At 43.8% G+C, this 21,925-nt stretch overlaps 1 long non-coding RNA gene across 1 annotated transcript in view, besides 1 other annotated feature; it reads left to right on the forward strand.

The window, feature by feature from the left end:
• Positions 263 to 332: an enhancer, noted in NCBI's record as "active region_22703". NCBI's record gives its function as "activates an Ori minimal core promoter by ATAC-STARR-seq in GM12878 lymphoblastoid cells {active_cell/tissue: GM12878}" and the evidence as "EXISTENCE:reporter gene assay evidence [ECO:0000049][PMID:35858748]".
• Positions 4,902 to 21,925, forward strand: part of LOC101929154 (uncharacterized) — a 74,441-nt gene continuing 57,417 nt past the window's right edge. The window contains exon 1 of the long non-coding RNA NR_105012.1: positions 4,902 to 5,071. This is a non-coding gene — a long non-coding RNA (uncharacterized LOC101929154). The remainder of the gene's footprint in view (positions 5,072 to 21,925) is intronic.

A 21,925-nucleotide genomic window follows, 5' to 3' on the forward strand; every position in this document is an offset into this window, starting at 1 on the left:
AGTAGAGACAGGTTTACACCATGTTGGCCAGATTGGTCTCAAACTCCTGACGTCGTAATCTGCCCGCCTTGGCCTCCCAAAGTGCTGGGATTACAGGCGTGAGTCACTGTGTCTGGCCTTGGCCCCCATGAGATTTTAACATAATTCCTTCAAAGGTGGCCTGAGGGGCTGAGTAAAGGCTAGACAGGAATTTTAGGGTTTTCTTTTTCTTTTTCTTTTTCTTTTTTTTTTATGTCTTTGGGCAGGACTCTGCGTGTGGGATTAACCAACCAACTTTCTTCCCCCAACAGACATTTTTGAGCTATACTGTGACCTGTGTCAGAAAACTGACGCTGACAACAGACCTGCAAGTACGAACTTGTTATCCCTGCTTCACAGATAAAGGGGCTGACTCACAGGAGGATTCACTGATGCAGCCAGGATTGCACCGCCAGCTCAGAGAGGTCAGTGAGGGAAACCCCACTCTCTCTGACTCAAAGTTCACTCTGACTTGAAGTTCACTCTGCCAGGGGCTGCCCTGGGGGACAGGAAAGAGGTCCTGCCTTTTTTTTTTTTCTTTTTCTTTCTTTTTTTTTTCTTTGAGACAGTCTTGCTCTGTTGCCCAAGCTGGAGTAAAGTGGCATGATCTCAGCTCACTGCAACCTCCACCTCCCGGGTTCAAGCAATCCTCCTGCCTCAGCCTCCCAAGTAGCTGGGATTACAAGAATGCACCACCATGCCTGGTTAATTTTTGTATTTGTAGTAAACACGGGGTTTCACCATGTTGGCCAGCCTGGAGTCAAACTCCTGACCTCAAGTGATCCGTCCACCTTGGCCTCCCAAAGTGCTGGGATTACAGGCGTGAGCCACTGCACTGGGCCAGCTTATTCTTAGTGAGTTGTTTAGTTCTCCTCTTTGTCATAGTCACAAACACTACTCTGCACCTTGGTCCATCCTGTCATGGTGGGCACTTGCAATAGTCAGGATGAACTAGTTAACTAGTTACACTATGAAACAAGTCTTATTCATACGACACACCCAAAGCAGATTGGTTAGGAGGCTCTAAGTATCCTAGTCACTCAGGGACTCAGGCAGACAGAGACTCCACCATCTCATTAGATCTTAAGTCAACATCACAATACAATGCTTCAGGATTCACCATCGCACAGAAAGAGGGCATGAAAAGTTACAACATGACTCCTAAATGTGCTTGCCCAGAAGTGACATAAATCCCCTTACTTTTTTTTTTTTTTTTTTTTTTTTTAGGAGACAGAGTCTTGTCTTGCTCTGTCACCCAGGCTGGAGTGCAGTGGCACGATCTTGACTCACTGCAACCTCCACTTCCTGGATTCAAGCGATTCTCATGCCTCAGCCTCCCAAGTAGCTGGGACTATAAGCACGCACCACCACCCTCGGCTAATTTTTGTATTTTTAGTAGAGGTGGAGTTTTGCCATGTTGGCCAGGCTGGTCTTGAACTCCTGGCCTCAAGTGATCTGCCCGCCTGGGCCTCCCAAAGTGCTGGATTACAGGCCCCCCTCACCTTTCACGGGCCAAGGTGAGTCATATGGCCACACCTGACTTAAAGCCAGTCCTCCTATATGCCTGGAGGAAGAAGAGAACCAGAAATCTTAGAGAGCTGCAGTCATGTCTACAACAGTACTCTTGGTCACAAGGAGGAAGGAGCACTGAGCTGAGAGTCACAGGGCCTTCATCCTAATACTGGCTTTGCCCCTGTATAAGCTCCATGTCCTTGTCCTCTCTCTTAACCTCATGGCTCCCACATCCTCCTCTGCAAATGAGGGCTTGAGATAGATGGTCACCTCTCCGATACTGCACCAGAACAAATTTATTACCTTTGCTAGATTTCAGGTCCCACATGCTTGGGAACAGGTCTGTGGGGTCATCTCCAGTGAAAGCCAACAGCGCAGAGAGGATGATGCGGGTCCTCGTGGAAACAGACTCATTTGTACGCATGATAAGGAAGCTGGCTAGAGTCCACCAGCTCTGAGTTTTGAGATAGTCCACACCAGCATGATGAATGTGTCAAAGATTCCATGTCACACAATAGACTTTGTTAACTCGCTTTGACAAAGGCCTTTTACTTTTAACTGCTTGTGACAGCAGCTCAGAGTTTACTCGTCAATGTGCCTCACATACAGGTGTTGCCCACTTCATATAATAGATATGTTCCTTTAAAAAAAAAAAAGAGGGTGGAAATTTCAAAACCAGAAAATCACCGTTTGAGTTTATGGAAAATCACATTAGTTACAGGAATCCAATGACACAAGTTTTTGAGAAACGGTGAAAAGATCATTGGTCGTTTTACTTTTTCTCTTAAGTCATTGCTTCTGATAATACTGAGAGTTATCTGGCACAGTACACAAAGCACAGTAAAGACATTCAATGATATTTGTGAACGAATGGATAAAACTCAGTTTTCTAACTGTGGTTGACCTGGCATTTTCATAAAATAATGATACTTATATCTGTATCACACTTTCTAGTTAGCAAGCCTTACGTTTACCTGGGACAGGAGTAGAAAGAGCATAAACTTTGGTGTCAGACTGGCGTTCTTATTGCGGGTCTCTTTCTTAGCAGCTGTGAGCTTAGACACAGTACTTCACCTCCTGGAGCATCCATCATCTTATTTGTAAAATATGAGTGATGCCAGCTTCTCAGGATTGTTGAAAGAGTGTGATGAGAGCCTTATGGGTTTTTTCTTTTTCTTTTTTTTTTCTTTTTAGAAATGGCATTCCGCTTTGTTGCCCAGGCTGGTCTCAAACTCCTGACTTCAGAGGATCCTCCTGTCTCAGCCTCCCAAAGTGCTAGGGTTCCAGGCATGAGCCACTGCGCCCTGCCCGGAGCCTTATGTTAACATGTCTATTACAGGACCTGACATGAAGAAGAGACTTAATAAAAGGTGATTGTCCTTCCCTTTTCTATGAAGCAGGAAGGGGAGCTATTATTATCTTCATTGTACAGAAGAGAAAGCTGAGGCCCAGAGAGATAAAGTGGCTTGCCCAGAGTTTCACAAATACAGGATTGGAGCCCCAACTTGTGCCTAGCTCTTTAACATACCACCTCACCAGCCCACACAGGAAGGCAATGACTGTGCACTGCAGATATTTGTGCAGGATGTGTATATTACATGATTTGGGGCTGACGCAACTTGTCTTGTACATATTGTTTTATGTGACTTTACTCTGCCTTTCTGCCTGTGCTGATCATGCCCCAAGAGCTGGGCCAGGCCTTGTGCCCTTGCAGAATCTGCCTCTGCAGCTCAGTGATAGTTGCTCAGCAAGTGCTGATCCACTAGCCCATTTCCTTCCTTCCTTCCTTCCTTCTTTCCTTCCTTCCTTCCTTTCTTTCTCTTTCTTTCTTTCTTCTTTTTTTTTTTTTGACAGAGTCTCGCTCCGTCACCCAGGCTGGAGTGCAACGGTGAGATCTCACCTCATTGCAAACTCTGTCTCCCGGGTTCAAGCGATTCTCCTGCCTCACCCTCCCAAGTAGCTGAGATTACAGGTGTGCGCCACCATGCTTGGCTAATTTTTGTATTTTCAGTAGAGGCGAGGTTTCATCATGTTGGCCAAGTTGGTCTCGAACTCCTGACCTCATGATCTACCCACCTCGGCCTCCCAAAGTGCTGGGATTACAGGCATGAGCCACCTTGCTCTGCTGACCATTTTCAAGTGCTTGCAAATCTGTCCACCCAGAGAGGACATAGTAGCACATTTAATAATTAAGAGAAAAGCTTGGTTTTCAGGAACTTTGTCATCTGAGTTTGATAATTATGAAGGGTATAAGAATTCATTTTATGGTATGGTAGGAAAAGAATAACACTACCTAAAATGCTCAGATGATTTATTAAGGGTTCTTATTTGTAGGGACAGCCTCCCATTTTTCTCTCATGTGATGTCCAGCAGGTGGTTCTGACCTGACTAGTACACATTCTTTAACTAAAGACAGAGCACTGCTAGGCGGCAGACACAGACCTGTGCCCCAGGCTGTAATGGTGAGACAGGCATAATCCCTGATCATGGAACCTATGGGCACAAGGCAGTCAACAGTTAAATACACACAATATTTATAAGTTACAATGAATTAAACGAAGGAAAAGACGAGGAACTAAGAGACAGCCTAATTGGAGGATCTCATTTAGATTGGGAGGCTGGGGAAAGTCTCCATGAAGAAGTGTTATCTACACTGAAACCTGAGAAAAGTTGGTAGAATTCAGGCCAAAAGTGGGAGAAGGAGCATTTCAGACAGAGGGATCAACCTTGTGGAAGCCCTGTGGTGGGAGAGAGCTTAGAATTGAAATGAGGTTAGGGGCCACCACAGGGAAACTGGAGACACATAAGTGATGGGAGCTTGGCCAGGACCAACTTCCTGTAGGCATTCCAATTGCAATTGCCATTTATAAGTTTTCAGCAGATAAATCATATGGTCGAACTTAGGTCCTAACACATCTGTCTACTGCTAAATAGAAGAATGGGTGCCACTTAAGAATGGGTTCAATGTAACGAGGGCAAAAGTAGAAGTGAGGAGACCAGCTGTGAGGCTATTGCAGTGGTCCTGGTGTAGGATGTGGGTGGCTTGGACTTGGGTAATGGCAGTGAATTGACAGACATGAGTGAAACTGTGAGATGTTTTAGGAGTAGAATTGTTAGGACATGCGGATCAACTGTATATACAGAGTGAGAAAGGGAAAGGGTACTCTCGTGTTTCAGGGTGTCTGAATTGGTTTACTGATATCTGGGGGGATCAGAAGAGTTCAGGTCCAGCCAGGTTGCAATTGAGATGCCTCTGAGACATCCAATAGGAGGATGTCATTGGATACAGGAGTTAGGAGCTTAGATACACACTTGGGAGAACTCGGCACAGGTGGTATGAAAGTGGTGGGCTGGTGAGATTGCCTAGGGAGAGAAAACACGGAGAGGAGTCCCAGGGCTGAGCCCAGACCTCTGAACAGAAGAAGGAGTCATGGAGAAACCCAGAAGAATGAGGTGTCACAGGCAAAGAAAAATTGGATGCTCCGGAAGGAGAGAGGTCTGTCTCACGAAGAGAGATAAAAGCAGCTGGGACCACATAGAGGTAATTGTTGATGCTGATGAGAGAAGAGGGCGGAGGGTGGAAAAGGAAGGGAGCCACTGAGCTGAGAATGGGAGACAGGAAAGAAACAGCATTCTGTGGTCAGCCTGGTGAGAAATGTGGCTCTCAGAAAGCAGAGAGAGAACAGTTGGAGGAGCTCATGGGCACACGGGGGATGTCTGACTGGTTGTGTTTTCTGTTGGAAAATATTAGAGCTCCTCTGTGTGTTAGGGAAGGGTCAAGTAGAGAGGGCAAGGGAGAAGATGCTGGAATGAGGAGAGCCAAGGTCCTGAGGACACCTGACCTTGGCACTACACAGGACCTGCAGCCCAGACGCTTCCTAAGCAAGCCTCTTGCCTGGGGAATAAAGAGCTGATTTTTCCAGTGACTTCATGGGCACTGGGGTCCTATGGAACCTCTAAGGGGAAGGAGCAAGAGAAACAGATGTTCTTTCTTCCCTGTAGAGGGAGGAAGAGGGAAGACAAAGATGAAAAAGGGAAGAAAGGAGGAAGGAAGGGAGAAAGGAGAAAACAAAGATGGCCAGTCTTCTCTTCTCCCCAGGTGGTTGGGATAACAGCGAGGCCAAATCCCAGATGATATGGGGGAGGGCTGCAACCTCTCAGGAGGGCTGTCTCCCCCAGAAAAAGCCTAGGACTTACCTAGACTTAGGAGGTTGTCATCAAGCCTTGTCTTTCCTGCAGACCTCAACGTCTTGTCAGTCCAGAAAAACTTCAAGGGCAGCAGCCAGAATCCCAGGGCTGAGAAACCTGACTTTCCTCTCTTTGTACCTCCCAATTCCCCTCCTAGGTCCTGAGCCACAGGGAATTGTGTGATTTCAATGAGCTATGGCAAGAGCATTTTCCCTTCCCATCAACTCAGTCACGTTTCCTGTAGTGGAGACGGGAGCATGGGGAGGGAGGAGCGGGAGAAAGAAGGCTTACCCTGGCAGTATTCATTCACTCTCTGAGGCATGAGATTTGATTACCAGTCTTTTAACATGCATGACAGCAAATGCTAATATTTGCCACAGAATTTTCTAGCCACCTTTTAAATCCATCTACAGTGTTAGGCTCTTTGACCCCTAGAGGTAGGGAATGCCACAGGCTGCCTTCATGCTACTGAACGTTGTTGCCTCCTCTATAGCAATAAAGCTTTTCTTGAAATATAAGGCATAAGAACAAAGAAAATTCCAGATTTCTGGGAGTAAATACTACAGTTCATTAAACCACCTGCTTACTTCATACAAGCTAGCAATGACTCTCCAGTCTCCCGCCTAAAACTCCAGTTAGTCTTCTGTGCATGAGATGTCTTTTCTATTGTGATTGCCATTCTTGGCTCATTGTTTGAAAAGGGATATTACAAATAAAAATAACAACCATCCCTGGTTAATATGCTTATTACTTTACACATCTTTCTCAACTTTTTCCAAACTTACTGGTAGACCAGAAAGAAATCTAACTTCTTTTAGGCTTGAGTTCCATTGTCTAAAAGTAGTAACCATTTTCTTTCTTTCTCCCTTTTTCTTTTCTTTTCTTTTTTTTCTTTTGAGAAGAAGTTTTGCTCTTGTTGCCCAGGCTAGAGTGCAGTGGTGCAATCTCGGCTCACTGCAACCTCTGCCTTCCAGTTTCAAGTGATTCTCCTGCCTCAGCCTCCCAAGTAGCTGGGATTCCAGGCGCCTGCCACCACACCCTGCTAATTTTTGTATGTTTAGTAGAGACGGGGTTTCACCATGTTGCCCAGGCTGGTCTCAAACTCCTGACCTCATGATCTGCCCACCTCGCCCTCCCAAGGTGCTGGGATTACAGATGTGAGCCACTGCGCCTGGCCAGGTATGACCATTTTCTAATGTTTAGGAGGAGGGGAGCTTGGGGGCAGTATCTAAAACTGTCAGCTAGAGGAGGGGCAATCTTGAAGTTCAAAAGCAGGAGACACCCCAGATCTCCTTCTGCAGAGCTTTAACATCCCACCTCTCACTGCTTCTTGTAATATTCATCAGAGTCGTAAAAACTATTATCCAGCATAATATCTTTTAAATTGTTGGCAAAGAGTCACTTTAGAAGAGTGGCCTCCCTCTGCTCCCTTCCCGCCCCCTCCCAGATGGACCAGTGCTGTTTGTTAGGACGGCTTTGTTCCTCGTTGTTCAACTACACCTGGCATAGTGCTTTGCTCTGTCATAAGGCCATTTCAAAACACTCCCTCTTTGTAACGTAAGCTTTGCTCGTGCTGAAACCTTGCCTTTCATTTGCTCTCCACAGCACTTGTCACACTGCATAATATAACCTAGACAATAGTGGCATACAAAGAAATAACAACTGAACATAACCATCCACTATGGAACCACTAATGAGTGCCCTACCTTTTGAAGGCTTCTTAAAAACTAAAATACAGACAAGGATAAAGGGCAAGCCTGCAGGAAAAGTCAATAGAACCTCACAATGCGAAGACTTAACCCCTGTCGCTATCAACTCAGATTTTCGAGTTGTATCACCAGCCAGAACCTTCTCCACTTGTCTAGAGCCAAGTGCCACATCAGAGCCTGGCAAAAAAAAAAAAAGAAAGAAAGAAAAAAGAAAAAGAAAAAAAGAAAAAAAAAGAAAATTGCTTTTTCTCCATGCTGAGTGAAGATATAAACTTAGAAGCTATAGCTCATGTTGAAGGTTGTTTCACATTTTCTAAATACTAAAAAGACATTAAAATCAGTATGGTCACATGAAATCAGCTCAGTTTCATAAATGTATAATGAAAAGAAGCAATTTTGTTGTAACCATTTTTAAAAATTACACAAAGATAATATCTATGATTTATGCTATTTCTGCCACTTTGATTCGTATTTTTATTTCTTGGTACATTAGGTTAATGTTTAAGGTCCATTCTGTGTTTCAGCTTATAAAATTAATGTCTAAGTGCCAGCATAAGGCAAAGCAAACCTTACATTGGAGGATCCCTCACTTCCAGTGACTGGAATCAACATATCCAGCCATTCACACAACACTTCTCAAATGTCAAAATAATGGCGTTTGTTCTCCTAACGTTTATTGAGGGCTTACTATACCAGGCACTGCCCTAAATGCTTTGATGCACTAGTTTTAGCCTCATGATAACTTTATGAAGTAGTAAATATTAGTAGCCCCTCATGGTTAGATGAGGAAACCGAGCCCAGAGACGGTAAGCAAGTTGTCCAAGGTCGTAGCGTGATATTGCCTTCGGAGCCCAGGCTCATCTTGACTGATCCCCAGCACTGCCTCCATGACAGATCTGTGCTAGAATGGAGGAATAACCTGAGAAATTATTGGTGACACATGGAGAAAATTGAAATTGCATGGCTAAAGAGGTGGATAGTTACAAATAATTGCAAAGCCAGATTTGTAGACAAATTTCCCAGTTCTGCCTACTGAATGTCTGTGTTCCTAGCAGGTTCTCCTTCTTCTGGAGACAAATTGCATTCCCCTCTCCACACATCCCTAATGTGGTTATTGAGGGCCTCAACATACTCATAGGACCCAACACCTCACCTCCTGCCCTGGCTACAGGATTTGGAGCCAGGGGTGAGCACCTTCACTATTTCATTTAGCAAAGATTTAGCTGTTGGTGTGAGGGACAGCCAAAGGAGCGGCAAGAGGTGCTGCTGAGGGGGCTTGGCTGGGGTTTCGAGGCCCTAAAGGGCCTGTGATTCAGTTTTGCTAATTTCACATCTTTAACCCAGGGCTAGGCATGAACGCAAAACTCGAAATTTATATTCAATTTTCTAGTATGATTTCATAAAGCAAAACAAAACAAAAGCAAAAAAATCTCATTTAAGAATATATAAGAAATGTTCTTATATGAAAAGTGTCTTGAAGTAGAATATTTATTAACTAGAACAGAAGTTTTTTGGGTTGTTTGTTTGTTCGTTTGTTTGTTTTGAGAGAGTCTCACTCTGTTGCCCAGGCTGGAGTGCATTGGCACCTCCTCAGCTCATTGCAACCTCCACCTCCCGGGTTCAATCAATTCTCCTGTCTCAGCTTCCTGAATAGCTAGGACTACAGGCTCACACCACCATCCCTGGCTAATTTTTAGTAGAGACGGGGTTTCGCCACTTTGGCCAGGCTGGTCTCGAACTCTAACCTCAGGTGATCCACCCGCCTTGGCCTCTCAAACTGCTGGGATTATAGGTGTGAGCCACTGCACCCAGCCAATTAACTAGAACAGAAGTTTTATTACTTTCTCTGAATATGCCTCTTTTTACTGTAAGGCAAATTCATAGCTTTGCTGCAAGTTCAGAATGAAATTTTGTAGAAAGGGCTCTTAATAGCTATCTATCAATCCCTCTTTTAAAAATACTTCATAGGGTCTTCTTCTACATCCCCTGGCTGCCAACAACTAGACAAGCAAGGGCTAATTGGGCAGTGAATGGCTATGCATTGGGGTACCTAGAACCATCCATGCACTATTCATTTAGTAACATTGGTTCTACTAGGAGAGATCCAAAGAAAGACAAGCACCTGGCTCCTGCCTACCGGCAGTAGATGGGAAAACAAGGCAGGCTTTTGTGGCCTAACTAGAGAACAATTCCAAAACAACATATATTATTTGGAGTGTTTGGTTCTGGCTTTCAGTGGATTCAGGGTTAGAGGAGTACTTTAGTCAGGGAAGCTGCTTAAAGACAGGGGTATAATTTTTGGGTGATGATTACACTAAATATCTATCTTTAGCAAGAAAGCTGCAGAATTTTACCTCCTACATTTGGGGAGAGTGTGGACAGGGTGAATGGGCTCTTTGTAAATCAGCTAAGGGCGCTGGGAATGATTTACCGTGTACTCGAGGCAAGCTCATTTCCCCTCTGGGCCTCAGTTTCCTCATCTGTAAAAGATGGGTTTCAACTGGAAAATTTTGTGGATTTCTGCCAACTCTGCCATCCTGAGGGCAGGGACTCTGGCTGTGTTTCCATGCACAGCAGTAGGCCAGGTCTGCAAACTGGTCCAGTGTTTGGAAGAATCTACTCAGCAGGAGAGGGTGTATGCTGACTCTGCCTTGACAGGCAAGTGATGAGGACATTTTCCAGCCAAACTTCCTGGTGGTATTTTCATATAATGCTTACAGCAGCCTTTCCTTACCTTGGTACATCTTCCCTGAGGGGCTTCATCAAACTTCAGGACAGATGGTATCCCTCACTTTTGCTAATTTGAATCTAGCAACATCTTTATGTTCTCTCTAACTTTTAAGTTGTTTGATGGAGTTGCCTAATTTTCTTTCTAAACTCATATGCTCTCATTTATCTATTTCCCTAGGATCTCTGTCTCTCTCTCATATTCAGATTGAGTTACACAATCAGTTTTATTATCCACCACTCTCCATTCAACTAAAACCTAGATTTTATAATCAAAGTATTTCTGGGAGATATTAATAATATGTTATAAAAGTTAAAGTCATTTGTTTTTTTCCAGACAGAGTCTTGCTCTGTCACCCAGGCTGGAGTGCAGTGGCATGATCTCGGCTTACTGCAACATCTGCCTCCTGGGTTCAATCGATTCTCCTGCCTCAGCCTTAAGAATAGCTGGAATTATAGGCACCCACCACCACTCCCGGCTAATTTTTGTATTTTTAGTAAAGACCAGGTTTCACCATGTTGGCCAGCCTGGTCTCGAACTCATGACGTCATAATCTACCCGCCTTGGCCTCCTAAAGTGCTGGGATTACAGGTGTGAGCCACCGTGCCTGGCCAAGTTAAAGTCATTTTTAATTAACACCATACTATGCTTATAATTGTATTTTCCATAAAGTTCTTTAAACTTATGGAATCCTAATCAAAAGCAGAATTTGGGCACTTTTCATCGTACTTTTTCCAGATACTAATATGATAGACCTCTCCCATGAATGAGGTATGTTCTGTAGCTGCTTTCTTCTATGAAGCTAGGAGAAATAATATTGATACATTTTAGCATTTCCCAAGTATATTCCAAATAACACTACACAAATATAGAACAAGGGGACTCATAATCTCTGTAGTAATTTGTATGCAATATTTGATATTGGAAAATAAGTTTCTAGGATTACACTAATTAAATTAATGAAATATCATATAGTTAAGGTACAGATCTCTGTCATGTTAGTTTAGTTCAAAACCATAACCTTTAGTTTTAACTAGCATGAAAGTCATAGGCAACAATTTCTCAAAACACGTCCCTTTTAGACAGAAAACTTTACTCCGTTTATGCAGTCTAAGAGCTTATTTGCCGATGAAGATGTGTATATGGCTGCTGGAAAAAAGATGAGAATCTTTACACTGCAGGGAAGATGTACCCAAATCAATTTGGCTCTTTTGACTGACCTCAAAGGTCAAGTCAATAAGGAAATATCAAGTCAGCCAAAAAACTGCTTAATATATTTGTTTGGTTTTTTTTGTTTTGTTTTTTTGTTTTGTTTTTTTTTTTTGAGACGGAGTCTCGCTCAGTGGCCCAGGCTGGAGTGCAGTGGCACGATCTCTGCTCACTGCAAGCTCCGCCTCCCAGGTTCACGCCATTCTCCTGCCTCAGCCTCCCAAGTAGCTGGGATTACGGGTGCCCGCCACCATGCCCGGCTAATTTTTTGTACTTTTAGTAGAGACAGGGTTTCACCATGTTAGCCAGGATGGTCTCGATCTCCTGACCTCGTGATCCGCCTGCCTCGGCCTCCCAAAGTGCTGGGATTACAGGCGTGAGCCACCACGCCCAGCAGTATTTGTAAATCAAGTTAACAATCAAATGGGCTAAAACCATCAAGCCAGTTTAGGTTTGTGGACAGTCTCTGTTTAAATCCCAATAGAAGAGAAGCTGCTCATCATTCCCCATCACTGCAAATAACAACAGAGCTTAGCCCAGGCTGTAGCAAACTTTAGAGACGAAGCTTCTGGTCTAACACAGGAGAGGATCCTAAGCGCCCTGGCAGGAACAGCACAGGGGAGCTGGAGGAGGGTCCCTGTCTCTATCAGTTCCAGGGCACTATCAGCCTCAGGCCTGCCAAGGGGCACCTTTTGATTCAGAGGAGTGGGTTGCTAAGAGGAGGGGAGGCATTTCTGAATCTTAACTTCTGTGCTTGATGAATGTTTTCCAAATAAATGCTCTATTCTCTTGTCCAGTAATAATTCCACAACCCTTCTATATATTTGTGAAGAATCACACCTGTTGACCCTTCGATAGTCACAAGAAAAGCCCTGAAAGATGGAAGGAGAAGCCGTTGAATTTGTTGGTGCTTTTAGTTATTTCTGAGAGAAAGGTGGCATTGCCGCAATCCACTAAAGCCACGTACCGCGTCAAAGCTAAAAAGCTGTCACATAAAAGCACCACCTGTAGCCACTCCTTTGAAAGGAAAGTCCTTGGCAAACAATGGCCTGAGTGAGCCAGTTTAATCAGACAGGAGTCAAGACCACTGAGACATAAATTAAGCATTCATCCTTGAGTAGCAGCCAAGCAGCCAAAGCCCCCATAATCCCAATTAATCCCATTTTGTGCGGTTGCCCTTGGGCCAAGGGCAGAGGGGAAGGGAATCTGCACACGCTGGTTCTGCATCAGCTCTTTATCTTTACAGGGGGTGGGGCTGTAATAAAGGAGAGCACCTATGCAATTGTTCCTATCCTGATGTTGGAGCAATCAGAGCCTTCCCCTGCCCGGCTTCTGTGATCTGTCAGCAAGAACTTACTTCAAGGGCATCCTACACTTTTGGAAAGTTAGGTGCTTGGGCTCCTTTGAAGACAGACATGACTCTGTTTCATTTTCCTTTGTTTGTACAACTAAACTGACTTCCCATCACCCACTCCTGCAGTCACACAGAATGAACAAATGCTCTACAATCTCCCTGGAACTCGTTTTTGCCATTGATCCTCTGTTCTCATAGAAAAATTACCTAGCTTCCCAGGGATAGGAAATTTCTTTCCAGAGAGCAGCGATTCTGTCTGCAGACAGAGTCAGCCTAGTGAGGCCGCTGCTTACCTCTCTCACACCTTATGTGAAGGACATGGCAGAGTCTGAGCTCTGAAAACACACCCTCCCCTTGGCTGCGGATTCACTGTGCTCAGGCCCTCGCATCCCCTTCCCACTTTATCAGAAGCCCTTACAGACACCAGCTGAGTGCTAAGGGCTCTGTGGTGGAGACTGCTGCATGACTGGTCACTTCTGGCCACCAGAAATCTTCCCTTCTTTGGCCACACTAGTAGGCCCTGTCTCCCAGATTTCCTTGTAGTTGGAGGGAAATAAGATGACATGAAACTAGATTTTCCCGGTAGAATGTGAGCACGAGTGATGTGTACCACATCTTGCTTGGGCTCATAAAGTCCTCCTGGACATACTCGTCCACACTCTTTCCCCCTTTCTGTCTAACTGAGATGGAAATGCCTCCCCTATTCTGCCCTCCTCCAAGTGTTCTCCTGGAAGACAGATTTTAAAGGTCACCGTCAGCCTGAGTGCCAGGGTGACTGTCTGGAGCAGAGCCCTGCCTCCCAGCCACGTTTCTGTTTGTCTACATGATTTTTCAATTCTGCTATAATGTGAGGTGAGCAAGAAATAAACTTCCATTGTGCTGAGCAACTATATGTTTGGGTCTATTTATTGCTTCAGGCTGACCTACCTAACCATACAGGCTCAAAACATGTCAGCCTCCTGACCCTCTGTAGGCTCTACCCCCAGACCACCAATCCCTGGCCACAGGTCAGGAGAAAAGGAAGAGAGGCCAAGGTGGCCAGGGCTTCTGAGCCCAACTGAAATTTTCCACTCTGGGCTTTAGAATCTCCCTGATGACAAGGGGCCTCTATTCTAGTAAGTCTCTGTCCACAGTGACCCTTCCTGGATATGAGTGCTTTGGTTCTTGGTGGGCTGGCCCTGAGGGTTCTTCTCCATTCAGAGGACAGGCCTTTTGGCAGTAGGCTCTGCTGAGTCATACGTGACTCAGGCTTATGAATAAGCCCACTAAGACTGTTGGAGAGCAGTAATGACTTTTTGCAGGAATTGGGGCTGAGAAGAAATCTGCATGCATCCTACTCACTTCTGGGAAGATGGAAAAGCACTGCAACTTTTCACTCCAATCAAATTTAGGAGAATGAGCGTCTGTGGGCTCTTGCTTTCACTGCAGTGAGTCCTTGTCACTTGAAGTTTGTTTCCTGAGGAGTGTCAAATTTAATTTCCAGACTTCAGTTGTTTAAATAAATTTGATTCAAAGGAATAAAAATGGGCTGGGCATGGTGGCTCATGCCTGTAATCCCAGCACTTTGGGAGACCAAGGCAGGCAGATCACCTGAGGTCAGGAGTTCAAGACCAGCCTGCCCAACATGGTGAAACCCTGTCTCTACTAAAAATACAAAAATTAGCCAGGCATGGTGGCACAGGCCTGTAGTCCCAGCTACTCAGGAGGCTGAGGCAGAGGAATCACTTGAGCCCGGGAGGCGGAGGTTGCAGTGAGCCAAGATCGCACGACTGCACTCCAGCCTGGAGAGAGGAATAGATAACATTCACAGTCTCATGACCAATATACTGGCATCATGAGATTAGATTTAGGGAATCTAATTAGCATTAAGAATAGGACAAATAGGACATTGTGCACTTCGATCAATGTTAAGTTCAAAGAAAAACCACCTGTATTTCAAGTAGATAGGGCTGTTTTCTTTGACAGAAAAAATATACACTATGATTTGAAAGAATCAGACTCATTAACAGGCAATGTGGAGAGGATACAGGTACGATAAAAATCATTATTTAAGAAGAAAGTGTCTTACTCAAACTCATTGTTGCTCATTTTAGAGTTTTTCCAAACTCCACAGTTGTTGATTAGAAGTTACAAAGCAAGGAGAGAGGCAGTCTGCTCCTACAGAAAAGTCAGCTCCCTCTAGATACGTAATCCAGTTAAAACTGAGTTTCTTCTGGGTATCTTGTAACATTGCTGGTGGAAATGTAAGTTTGGCAGTTTCTAAAAAAATTATGTACTTACCATATTACTCAATAATTGTACATTGAGCATTTATCCCAAATAAATAAAAACTGATGTCCACACAACAACCTGTATACAATTGTTCACAGCAGCTTTACTTGTAATAGCCAAAAGCAGGAAACAACTGAAATGTCCTATAATAGGTGAATGATTAAACAGACTGTGGTACACCCCTACCATGGAATACTACTCCGTAATAAAAAAAAGAACCAACTATTTATACATGACACAACTCAGATGAATCTCAAGGACATTATACTGAGTGAAAAAAGTCAATCTTGAAAGTCACTGTTATTGTATGAATTTGCTGTACGAATACCGTATGTATGATTCCCTGCATATAACATTCTCAAAATGACAAAATTATACAGATTAAGAATAAACTAGTCATTCTATGGGTTAGGGATGTTGGGGTAAACTTGCAGAAAAAAATGAGTTTCTAATTTCCACTTCACGTGGCACAGGTAATTTTTAAATTAAACCTTAATTATTTCTAACTCTGCATTTTCATGTGTGATAAATATCTTTGAAAAAGAGTAACCAGCTGGGCACAGTGGTTCACGCCTATAATCCCAGCACTTTGAGAGGCCGAGGTGGGTGGATCGCTTGAGCTCAGGAGTTTGAGACCAGCCTGGATGAAACCTCGCCTCTACAAAAAATACAAAAATTACCTGGGCATAGTGGCCCATGCCTGTGGTCCCAGCTACTCAGGAGGCTGAGGTAGAAGGACCACTTCAGCCCAGGAGGTGGAGGTTGCAGTGAGCCGAGATTGCACCACTGCACTCCAGCCTGGGCAACAGAGTGAGACTCTGTCTCAAAAAAATAAAAAAAAGGGTAACCAACATCATTTTCAGAATCATAGCAATGTAAAACATCTTTTCCCATGTGAAGGAGTAGTCAAATAATCTCTTTTATTTGGGGAATTCAAAAGTGAGGCAGACACTCCCAAGGATAAATAAGACAATCTGTTGGAGAGTGGGAGAGAAATAGTAGAATGCCTGTTTCTATTTATTGCATATCCTTTGTATTTAAAATATCTCAGATATTTTAGGCCGGGTGCAGTTGCTCAGGCCCATAATCCCAGCACCTTGGGAGGCCAAGGCAGGTAGATCACCTGAGGTCAGAAGTTCGAGACCAGCGTGGTCAACATGGTGAAACCCCATCTCTATTAAGAACAAAGTCGGGCATGGTGGTGGGGGCTTGTAGTCCCAGCTACTTGAAGGCTAAGGCAGGAGAATCGCTTGAATCCGGGAGGCAGAGGTTGCAGTGAGCCGAGATCATGCCACTGCACTCCGGCCAGGGTGTGGCAGAGTGAAACTCTGTCTCAAAAAAATAAATAAATAAAATAAATAAATTATACACACACACACACACACACACACACACACACACACATCTCAGAGTATGTTTTATAACGTATATGATTTATTAGCTTCATAGTACCAAGATATCACTGATACATGTGAATATGGGGATACAAGCTCAAAAATGTTTTCCTGATGGGAATGTGTGATCCAAGGAGTAGTGTGCCTAACGTCAGCCATCAGCCCATAGGATCTGGCTCAACCATCTGATTTTTTTATGTGTATGGTCAGCATTTGACAGCTGAAGCCTTTTCAAATATTCTCTGGTAGAATGTAGATTGTTCTTTTTTATCTGGGGGGAAACTGTACATGTAAGTTAAAATGGGCAGCAACGTGTTTGGAAAATGTAAGACAATTGGGTCTATATTCCATATCTCCAACTTGCCCCTGAGGCCCTCCAAGTGGAAGAGAAACAGATGCTGTTTCTGACATCTAAATAGTCAACTGTCTCTCACTAATTTATTTACCGATAAGCAAGCATCACTTCTTTCATTAGAAAATTCAAGATTTGGCCAGGCACAGTGACTCACGCCTGTAATCCCACTTTGGGAGGCCAAGGTGGGTGGATCACCAGAGATCAGAAGTTTGAGACCAGCCTGGCCAACATGGTGAAACCCCATCTCTACTAAAAATACAAAGTTAGCTGGGCATGGTGGTAGGTGCCTGTAATCCCAGCTACTTCGGAGGCTGAGGCAGGAGAATGGCTTGAACCTGGGAGGCAGAGGTGCAGTGAGCCAAGCTCGCCCCATTGCACTCCAGCCTGGGCAACAAGAGTGAAACTCCATCTCAAAAAAAAAAAAAAAAAAGAAAAAGAAAAAAGAAAAGAAAATTCAAGATTTTTTCCTTTAAATATCTGTGTTATTATTATTATTTAGAGCAAGGTGAGATTGCCTTTGAATATCTTATGGCCAATTGCTATGGCTGTTGTTTTAAATCTAAAGGAGAGAATATTCCCTGCGAAGATGTAAGGAAAGCCCTATCTGTTGGCCCTCTGTTTGCCCTCAACTGTTGGTATATGTGGCAGGGAGTCCTGCCTTTGGTCTTCTTTTCTTCTCACCCAGCTTGCATTTCCTAGGTTACTCTCATCAACTTTTATAGTTGTAACTGCTTCACTATGGTAAAAGGGTAAGGCTCTGTCTCCAGAGAGATCATGCTCCTGAGCACTCCTCAAATGCAATTGCCCACAAAGCATGTTCCATCAGTATGGCCCCAAGAAGCAAGCACACCTTCACACTCAGATTGAGCTCAATATCTTGCAGGCCTCCTCATTTCAAACCTACTCCTTCTATTATATGCCTCATCTTTGTCTGTAATTTACGTGTTCATCCTAGCCAGAAATATGGTGGTTATCTGAGATTTTTTCTTCTCTCTTGCATTTTACATTGTTGAGTTTTACTTTTTTATTATCTCTAAATTCCTCTATGCATTAGACCTACGTATATCAACATGGATAAATCTCAAAAACATAATACAAAGAAAGCAAGTTACAAAAGGATACATGGGATGATATGTAAAATTCTAAATATATGGAAGAGTATTGTATTTTGTTTATGGATACATACGTGTGTGTAAAAACTAAAAATCATGTATGGAGGCCAGGTGCAGTGGTTCATGCCTGTAATCACTTTGGGAGGCTGAGACGGGAGTATCACTTGAGGTCAGGAGTTCAAGACCAGCCTGGCCAACATGGTGAAATCCTGTCTCTACTAAAAATACAAAAATTAGCTGGGCGTGGTGGCGTGAGCCTATAATCCCAGCTACACGGGAGGCTGAGGCAGGAGAATCACTTGAACCCAGGAAGCGGAGGTTGCAGTGAGCCGAGATTGCACTACTGCACCCCAGCCTGAGTGACAGAGTGAGACTCCATCTCAAAGAAAATAATAATAAAATAAAAAATAAAAATAGAAATCATGCATGGAAATAATACACTCAACCTCAGGACAGTGATGGCCTTTAAGGAGGAAGGAGAGGAGTAAGAGTTGGGGATAAGGCTACATCTCTTTTTAAAAAGTGGAAACATTTTGACACGTTAATTCTTGGTTATAGTCACATGGGTGTTAGTTATGCTATTATGTGAATTTTCCTGTATGTTTGAAATATTTCAGAATTATAACTATTTTAAGGGGAAAAAATCTTAATTCCTCCCCTCACCTCTCTATCCATGGCCAAAGGGCCTAGTTTAAGTTCCTGATATTTCTCCTTGGATTATTACAATAGTGACACTGTTTTCCCAGCCTCCATTTTCGCTTCTTTTTAGCCTACCCATCACATTCAGATAAAATACACATTGTAAAACAAAAATTGGAGCATGTTATACCCATTTGTGGCCCTTTAATGGCCTATATTCATTAGCCAAATCCATAAAAATGCTGCAGAACAAAAGACCACACAAATCTCAAGTGCGTGCAACAATAAGCATTGATTTGGCCTATGAATCTGAGTGGTCAGCTGAGCTGACCTAGACTGGTCTTGGCGGGGGTGAGTTGGTTCTTGTCCACAGTGCTGTTATCCTGCTAGCCTGGGCATGCTCCTCTAGTGGTGATGGCACACATGTAACTAGGGAAATGGAAATATACAAGGCCTCTTAAGACCTAGGCTTGGAGCAGGTACACCAACACCTACACCTCATTGTATTGGCCAAAGCTAGTCACAGGCCTGTTGGCCACAGTCGCTCACACCTGTAATCCCAGCACTTTGGGATGCCGAGACAGGTGGATCACTTGAGGCCAAGAGTTCGAGACCAGCCTGGACAGCATGGCAAAACCCCATCTCTACAAAAAATACAATAATCAGCCAGGGAAGGTGGTGTGCACCTGTAGTCCCAGCTACTCCGGAGGCTGATGTGGGAGGATTGCTTGAACCCAGGAGGCGGAGGTTGCAGTGAACCATGATCACACCACTGCACTCCAGCCTGGGTGACAGAGCGAGACCCTGTCTCAAAAAAACAAACAAACAAACAAAAAACCCAAACCCCAAAGTCAAGAAATAGGGCAACATATTCCATTTATTTAGTGGTAAAAACTACAAAGTCACATAGCAAAGGGTATGGCTGCACAGAGGAGTGAAAAATTGGGGCCGATAACACAATCTTGCATAGACCTTAACATTTAAGGACAAATGTCCTTTCCTTAGCAAGGCTCACACGGTACTCTGTGCAGGCACCCCGAGCCAGCTGTCCAGCCTCATTTCTGTTGCTGTATCCTTTATTCCCTATGCTCCCGCCATTCTGAACTGTCTGCATGTGTTCTGCTGTTTCTTGTCCCTCTTGCCTTTGCATGTTATTCCCTCTGTCTTCACCAGGCAAACAGCCACTTATTCTTCACGGCCTCAACTCAGATCTTCTTGATCAACCCTTTCCCAATCAATTTTCAGCTTCCATCTTCATCCCATCAGAAACGACCACACCTCAACGGTCTTTGCCTTTATTTTTTCTTGAATACACAATATGGAAACTCAGCACCACTCTTTCTAGACTATGAATCCTTCCAGGGCGGAAAATGTATTTTATCATATTTGCATCTTTGGTGCTTAGTACTTTATTGAGTCTCAATAAATGTTTGTCAAATTAAATGCAACCTTTTGACTATTGATTAAACTTCCCTAGTTCTCAGAAACTAAGAAAGGTATGCTGTGAACAGAAGAGACTAAATAGTCTAGTTTCCAAGACAAGTGAAATGCTAGCTGTAAATTTTTGTTTGTTTGTTTTGAGACAGAGTCTCGCTCTGTCACCCAGGCTGGAGTGCAGTGGTGCAATCTTGGCTCACTGCAACCTCTGCCTCCTAGGTTCAAGCAATTCTTCTTCCTCAGCCTCCCAAGCAGCTGAGACTACAGGCGTGTGCCACCACGCCTGGCTGATTTTTGTACTTTTAGTAGAGACAGGGTTTCTCTATGTTGGCCAGGCTGGCCTCAAACTCCTGACCTCAAGTGATCCGCCCACCTCAGCCTCCCAAATTGCTGGGATTACAGGCATGAGCCACCACACCCAGCCCTCTAGTTGTGAGTTAATACATCAATATTCTGCTAAAATATTTATCTAGCTTAGAATCTGATCATTTTCATTTGAGCTAGGGTGGGGGTCCAAACATTGAATCATGGAGCCACCAATAAGATGCTGCATATCGGCTGGGTGCAGTGGCTCACGCCTGTCATCCTAGCACTTTGGGAGGCTGAGTTTGAGGCAGGCGAATCACCTGAGATCAGGAGTTCTAGACCAGCCTGGCCAACATGGTGAAACCCTGTCTCTACTAAAAATACAAAAGTTAGCCAGGCATGGTGGCAAGGCACCTATAATCCCAGCTACTCGGGAGGCTGAGGCATGAGACTCGCTTGAACTTGGGGGGCAGAGTTTGCAGTGAGCCAAGATTGTGCCACTTCACTCCAGCCTGGGCGAAAGAGAGAAACTTCATTTCAAAAAAGAAAAAAAAAGAAAAAAAAAAAGATGCCGCATATCCTTGGAAGGTGTGGTTTAGGAGCTGGCTGATCTTACTCATTATACTACTGGGCAGTGTTCTGTGAGGACAGCGGAGACTAAGGTGTATTTGCCTTATGAAACTTCACATCAGCAGGGCGTGCTAAGGAAATCAGAGGGCAAATCCCTGACCACTGTGCTAATAGCTAGAGTCACCCACCTCCAATTCTCGGAAGAGGCCCTGGAATCAGACTCTGATTGAGGCCTTTATTATCCACTGTTGCAGGAGAACAAAGGGAGGGACTGAATCCAGGATAGTCACACTGTGGGGTGATGTGCACCAAACCCTTCTTTAAGGCATCGTTGGGTTTTGTGTTCAAGGACAGCCCCCAGGCAGAGACACTCTATTGTTACACCACTCAGATTCATAAACAACCAGGAGATTGAGTCCGTTAGGGACAAAAGTGAGCATAGAACATACATCTAGAAACAATGGAAGCACTGTTGTTTGTCTGCTTGTTTATTTGGAGGAGAAAATGCAAATCAAAGAACAAGAAAATAACTCTTTGGTCAACCAAGAAGCATAAATGTCACCTCCAAGGCTTTATATATTCAAGTGAGAGCAAATTCCAGCATTAGCAAATGCTTTACTACTACCGAGAGAGAGGACTAGCGGCTTCCTCTGCTGCCTCCATTTCTAATTTTCTTAAATTCAGGAAAATGTGCAAAATGACTTTATGCCTCTATCACATGCTACAAAGCAGAGTTCATTTGGGTGGTTCTGGCAGAGAGGTTGTTCATGAATGTTGTTAATGTACACTAGAAGACATCTGATGTGAAGTTCATAATTGAAATGTTATGAGCAGTTTAGCATATGGATCCTTCACATCCACTTAATTGCCAGTTTAGTAATAATTTTATGTAATGAGGCATTATTAATAATACGTGAAATACGAAATTGACGTAATGCCCTAAAAACGTAATATGACATTTACCACTGAAAAAGCGTTATGATTCCAGGTGTCTTTACTGATTTCAAAAACATATGTGATATTACATAAAATATTAAAATCAGTCTTTAGAACAGCTTGGTTATGATGTATTTCAAATTCGTTCTCCAAATTATAGTCCATTTTTGACAAAAAGGGCAAAACT

This window comes from Homo sapiens, chromosome 5 (genome assembly GCF_000001405.40).
Source record: "Homo sapiens chromosome 5, GRCh38.p14 Primary Assembly".
NCBI classification, from domain to species: domain Eukaryota; kingdom Metazoa; phylum Chordata; class Mammalia; order Primates; family Hominidae; genus Homo; species Homo sapiens.